The 6000-nt window shown below is 52.1% G+C and overlaps 1 annotated feature.

Moving 5' to 3' along the window:
* Window positions 3610-4468: an enhancer, noted in NCBI's record as "H3K4me1 hESC enhancer chr11:69430076-69430934 (GRCh37/hg19 assembly coordinates)". NCBI's record gives its function as "activates a minimal SCP1, AML or CMV promoter by ChIP-STARR-seq in primed H9 embryonic stem cells {active_cell/tissue: H9 hESC(primed)}" and the evidence as "EXISTENCE:reporter gene assay evidence [ECO:0000049][PMID:30033119]".

Genomic DNA, 6000 nt, shown 5'->3' on the forward strand with positions numbered 1-6000 from the left:
TGGACATCTGGGCAGGAGGGAAGTTGTGAAATCTCTGCCCACCGTCCCAGGAGGGAATGGAAAGTGAGGAGGCAGCTGGACTTCCGGGCTCTGGGATCAAAGTGACTCTGCTTGTCTCCATCAGACCTTCCTGATGATGCCAGTGTGACCAGCTCTTTCCCTGGATACATGGGCACCCACCTGGCCGGGGAGCCCTCGCGGCAAGAGGGACAGGGAAAAAGACCAAAGCGCCTATCACGAATGCCATCCTCAAGGTCACAGCCTGCAGGGTCACCGGCCTCAGCCCACTCCCACTGTTAGGAAGGAAATGGCCGCTGGCAGCTTGGGATCACCTGGGCTCTGCACACCCTGACCACGAGCAATCATTTTCCACAGGGATCACCGTGGTGTTTGTGCACCAGCCAAAGGGTAGCTGCAGAAAACCCAAGCACATCCCCTTCCTCCCGGGTTCCCCAGCCTTGGAGAGGACTCCCAGCACCTCAGGGAAACCACGTGGCTTAGAACCAAAAAATGATGTCCAGGGAGCCCTGTTCAAGGGATTGGGGCCCTTGGCATCATGGCACGAGGCAAGCCTGGGCCTGAGCAGTGAGAATGTGTTGTCATGACCTCTATAGATCCAGGCAGGCTTCCTGGAGGAGGTGAGGCCCAGAAGAGCTTTGAGAAACATGAAACATTGGAATAGGTAGGGAGTGGTTAGGGATGCGGGGAGGGCAGTGAACAATGTAAACAAAGCTAAGGAAGCCCAAGTGGGCCTGTCCAGTTAGCTGAGAGCCGATGGCCTGGGGGCCATATTCTTGGGTGGGTGGGCCACCCACGATTTCTCCATGAGGTTTTTAAAATTGGTGTTCATTTCAGTGACCATGTCCTCCATGCATCACATCCACATGGAATCATCTGGAATCATCTGGATGCTTCTGATTTCAGGGCTCAGATTTGCATTTCTCATTCAGTGGACAGGAAAAGAAGATAACCAGGGCAGGGGCTCTGAGCCCTTTCTGCAATGTAGACTTTATGGGAAATTTTTAAATTCTATGGACCCCTTCTCAGAATAACACTTATCAGTGCAAAACACAAAATATATAGGATTACAAAGGAAGCAAATTACACTGAAATCAGTTAACCAAATATTCTTAAAAAAAAAAAAAAAAAAAAAAAGTGGGCTGGGCGCAGTAATCCCAGCACTTTGGGAGGCTGAGGTGGGTGGATCACATGAGGCCAGGAGTTTGAGACCAGCCTGGCCAACATGGGGAAACCCCATCTCTACTAAAAATACAAAAATTAGCCAGGTGTGGTGGCATGTGCCTGTAATCCCAGCTACTCGGGAAGCTAAAGCAGAAGAATCACTTGAACCCAGGAGGTGGAGGTTGCAGTGAGCAAAGATGGTGCCACTGCACTCCAGCCTGGGCAACAGAGTGAGACTCTATCTCAAAAATAAATAAATAAATAAATAAATAGCCAGGCGTGGTGGCTCACACCCTGTAATCCCAACACTTTGGGAGGCCGAGGCAGGTGAATCACTTGAGGTCAGGAGTTCGAGACCAGTCTGGCCAACCAACATGGCAAAACCCCGTCTCCACTAGAAATACAAAAATTAGCTGGGCGTGGTGGTGCATGCCTGTAATCCCAGCTACTTGGGAGTCTGAGGCAGGAGAATCGCTTGAACCCAAGAGATGGAGGTTGCAGTGAGCCAAGATTGTGCCTCTCTGCACTCCAGCCTGTGTGACAGAATGAGACTCAGTCTCAAAATAGATAAATAAATAAATTTAAAATTAAAATTTTAAAAAAACAAGTGTATCATATGGAAACTGTCCTGCTTTTCCAGCACATGCAATAAAGGCAGCAGCAGGTCTTCTCACTTCCATGGCTTCGAAGGGCACACCAGCACAAACAACATTCCGAGATGTCTGCAGCAACCGTATTGTGACTTGAAAAAATCCACAATTTCTACAAACGACAAAGCCACACGCCCTGCTGCTATGGCTGTGGCTCATGGCCTACCCTCCAGTGCCACCGTGCAGTTAGAGGTTGGTAAAAATCAAGATGTAACTTTCCCCTGCCCCAAGTTAATGGGCCACAGGTTAGGAGCTCCTGACCTCTTCACATGTTGGGAAATACATGTCTGGCTGCCGTCATATTAGCAAGTGGTGGTGGCGTGACCACGGTTCCGCACACCTTGGTCCTCAGGGGGAAGTCCTTCACCAGCTGGAAATGGAAAGATGGTTCCTTGGACAAAGCCTTAATGTGCCACACTGGGGCTTTAGTTTGGCATCTTGAAAATGGTGCCCTGTCTTAGTGTCTTGTAATACCGAATCCCTTTCACAGACAGGGGCTAACAGTGGTGAACTTGATACACAGACAGCATCTTTGTTCCACGCAAAGGATACGCAAGGAATGAGACATACCACCTCCCTCAAACAGGTCCACGTTTTACTCCTTAAGGGAGTGTGATGGTTTCAGGTGGGCTAGGGAAGAGGCAGCCAGCCCTAGCTGGGAGCCTGGCTCTCCAATGCAGAGCCTCCCACCTCCACCCCAGCAAGGAAATCCAACCCAGCCCACGGCAGGATGCAGGAAGGTGCTCTCAGGTCAGTGCCTGACCCAGGGTGCTGGGCCACAGTGGCAGAGGATACAGAAGAGACAGGAGCAGGGCAGGGGACAGTAGAAGGGCCCCCAAGCAAGGTGAGAGCACGGCAGGCACAAATCTGACCCTCTGAGGTCTCAGGCAGGGGCACGAGAGGACCTCAGGAATGGACCTCCTTCTCTACCTCGAAACGTTCGAAGCTGCGAACACCATAAGATAGGACAAAAAAAAAAAAAAAGCAGCTTCGGGTGTCTGTGCTCCCCCACCACACACACCCTCAAACCATTTTTTCTTTTAAAAAAGCCATTTTTGACTGCACCTCTTCCGAAGCGCAGGGAGAGGGCTGGCAGCAGGCCTGCCCATCTACACACGGAAACTTTGCAGAGGAGGGAATGCTGCCTGTGGTCCGCTGACCAAAACAAGCCCATTTGCAAATTGGCAGGTGGAATTCGCCCTGTGAAGATAAAGGGCTTGATTGGGGAATGTTTAAAAAAGTGATTTAAATGTTTTTATGGAGTGAAAAAACAAGAGAGGGGAAAAAATTAAGTTAATAAAAATTTTACTGAATTAAGATAGAAACGATGGCAGTATTTTACCACAGCCGCTTCCATTGAGGTTTTTAAAACAGACTTTTATGAGTTACTTTTTTTCTTTTTTTTTTCTTTTTAAACCTTGCTCAGTGAAAAGCCTTCTAAATTACTGCTGACCACATTATTTTCAATTCCTGAGCCATGATTTTTCCCTGCGCTGAGGGAGGCTCCATCTCCCAATTTACAGATGGGCAGGCCCGTTGCCCTACTGGCGGCTTCTGCAATTTGACTCTGAGATTTGTTAATGAGTCTGGCGTTTAATGTTAAAGCCATTTAATGGTAACCAAACTCCTCAGGGATCCCACAGGGCTTTGATGGAAGCCCCAATCCTGTTGGCCCCTGCTAATTGCTCCGAGGCCCGGCTCCCCAGTTCTCCCCTACCCATAACCCCCCCACCGAAAAAAAGTGGATATGGAGTGAGGATGTTGTAACGAGGAGACCTTTGAGACTAGAAGGAGTGGTGGCTCAAGAGAAAGATGGTGTATATATTGCAAATCCACCCAGGAATGTCATCAACAGGCAAGAGACTATGAGGATGGGGCTTCTCAGATGTCATACTGGAAACATTTGGTAAATTTTGGAGTAAGGAGCCAAGACTTACCTGGTGCCAAACCCCAAAGGCTTGATTCACCAATGTGACCGGACGCTAGTGAGGACCCATGTGTGCCAAGGCACAATTACTGCCCAAGAAACCCCTGAACCAAGGGGTCCTGGATGCTAGCAGGGCCCTAGAAACAGACCCAGAAGTGACACAGCCTCCACCTCCGGCCCCCATCCTGCATGCCCTGGGCCAGGCAACCGCACTGGAAGGCTGCATCTGCTGAGAGGCTGGGCCATGCAGGGGCCAGAGAGGCCTCTGGGAGCCTGGACTCTGGACCAGGGGCCTGTGATGAGCACTCATAGGAGCTGCCAGCATAGCCCTGCGGCCCGACACAGTAAACAGCACCAGACTCTCAGCTCCAGCCAAGGGGCCCAGCTGAAATGAAGTTGCGGGGTGTCAGTCCCAGACTTTGGGGTCCTCGAATTGACTCCCACCTGCCTTGGGTGTAACAGGCACAAGTCAAGGACTGGGAAAGTGCTTGTCTTCACCTCCCCCGGGTCAGGAACCAGCGCCTGCGTCATCCCCAGCCTGCCCTCCTGCAGGCAGCCCCCAGGAGGCAGAACCTCTGCCGCATCTTCTGCCCTGGGCCATGGCACAAGCCCCAGCATGTATTTGAGTAGGGGGCTCTGAAGCATGAAACAAGAGCTGGTCCTGCAGAAGCCCCTGGGCGGGGAGGAGCCTGCAAATGTGACCAGGGCCGTCTCACGCTTCCCGTAAGAGGTGGATAAACCCGCAGGCAAGGTTTCCACGGCAGGCTTTCCTGCTCCCAAAGAATGCCAATATTAGTGGGGTTTATTCTCTCTCATGCCTTTGGCAGACACATTGGAGAGCTCCGAGATGTAAAATGCATTCTTGAAGCAGAGTTGAGGGTGGACGCTGACTGCTGAGGGCTGGCTGGAGAGGCCCAGGAACCGCCTTCCTGCCTCTGGTAAACCCATCCTCCAAACTGCCCCACCTGCTTCCCCACCTGGTCACGCAGCTCTCTAACCTGAACATCTCCAGTGCATCCTGCTGACAGATGGACGGAGCCCAGCCCGGAGGCCCCCACACAGGCCCGGCCGACGCTTCCCACCATCTCTCCTGACTCTTGCCACAGACACTCCTGGAACCCCCCAGCTGCCCTCCAACCATCCTTGCCAGGCCTCATAGTCTTTCTAAATCAAATTCAATTTAACTTTGAACCCAAAGAGGCAAGAAATGCCATTTTGGAACTAATAATCTAGGTAAGGGGGTCACCCTGGCAACACACACAAAGCCCTTCGTAAAACGCCTGGTGCATCCTAAGCGCTCGAGGTGTTGATCCACTCGACAAACTGGCAGAGAGCCACTTCCGTGAGCACCTGCAGGGTGCACAGCTGAGCCCAAACCCAGGCCCTGCCTCACAGGGTGCACGGTCTACTGCAAGGATTTACACAATAAATACCATACATTACAGAGCATGCTGGGAAAGCAATGCATACCACAGAGCAAAAGAAAATGGGCTGGGTGCGGTGGCTCACGCCTGTAATCCCAGCACTTTGGGAGGCCGAGGTGGGCGGATCACGAGGTCAGGAGTTCGAGACCAGCCTGACCAACATGGTGAAGCCCCGACTCCACTGGAAATACAAAAATTAGCCAGGCGTGGTGCTGCATGCCTGTAATTCCAGCTACTCAGGAGGCTGAGGCAGGAGAACTGCTTGAACTCGGGAGGCAGAGGTTGCAGTGAGCCAAGATTGAGCCACTGCACTCCAGCCTGGGCGACAGAGTGAGACTCCGTCTCAAAATAAATAAATACATAAATAAATAAATAAATAAAAATGGCAAGGGGGTGGGGTGCACTGGGCAGGGGGTACCCTGTAGCATCAGATGGGATGGATGGGGACAGCCACATCCAGAGCACAGCATTTGAAGAGTTCAAGCCCAGGAGGACGCCAGCCTTGCAGCTAGCTAGGGAAAGAGCATTCCGGGTCAAGGGAGTAGCCAGTGCAAGGGCCCTGAGGCAGGAGTGTGCCTGATGCATCAGAGGCTCAGCAGAGAAGCTGGCCGGGCTCAGCAGGGTGAGTGTGGGGGAAACTGTAGGGGCAGAGGCCAGAGAGAGTGGGGAGGACCCACTGAGGGTGGGGAGAAATGGTGCAGGACCTCAGGGCAGCAGAAGGAATTGATCTTTTCTCTGAGTGAAACAGAGAATGTCCTGGGGGACGAGGGGCACTGGGACCAGCCACAGATGTCCCAGCTCTGTCTCATGTCAGACA

This window comes from Homo sapiens, chromosome 11 (assembly GCF_000001405.40).
Source record: "Homo sapiens chromosome 11, GRCh38.p14 Primary Assembly".
NCBI lineage: Eukaryota > Metazoa > Chordata > Mammalia > Primates > Hominidae > Homo > Homo sapiens.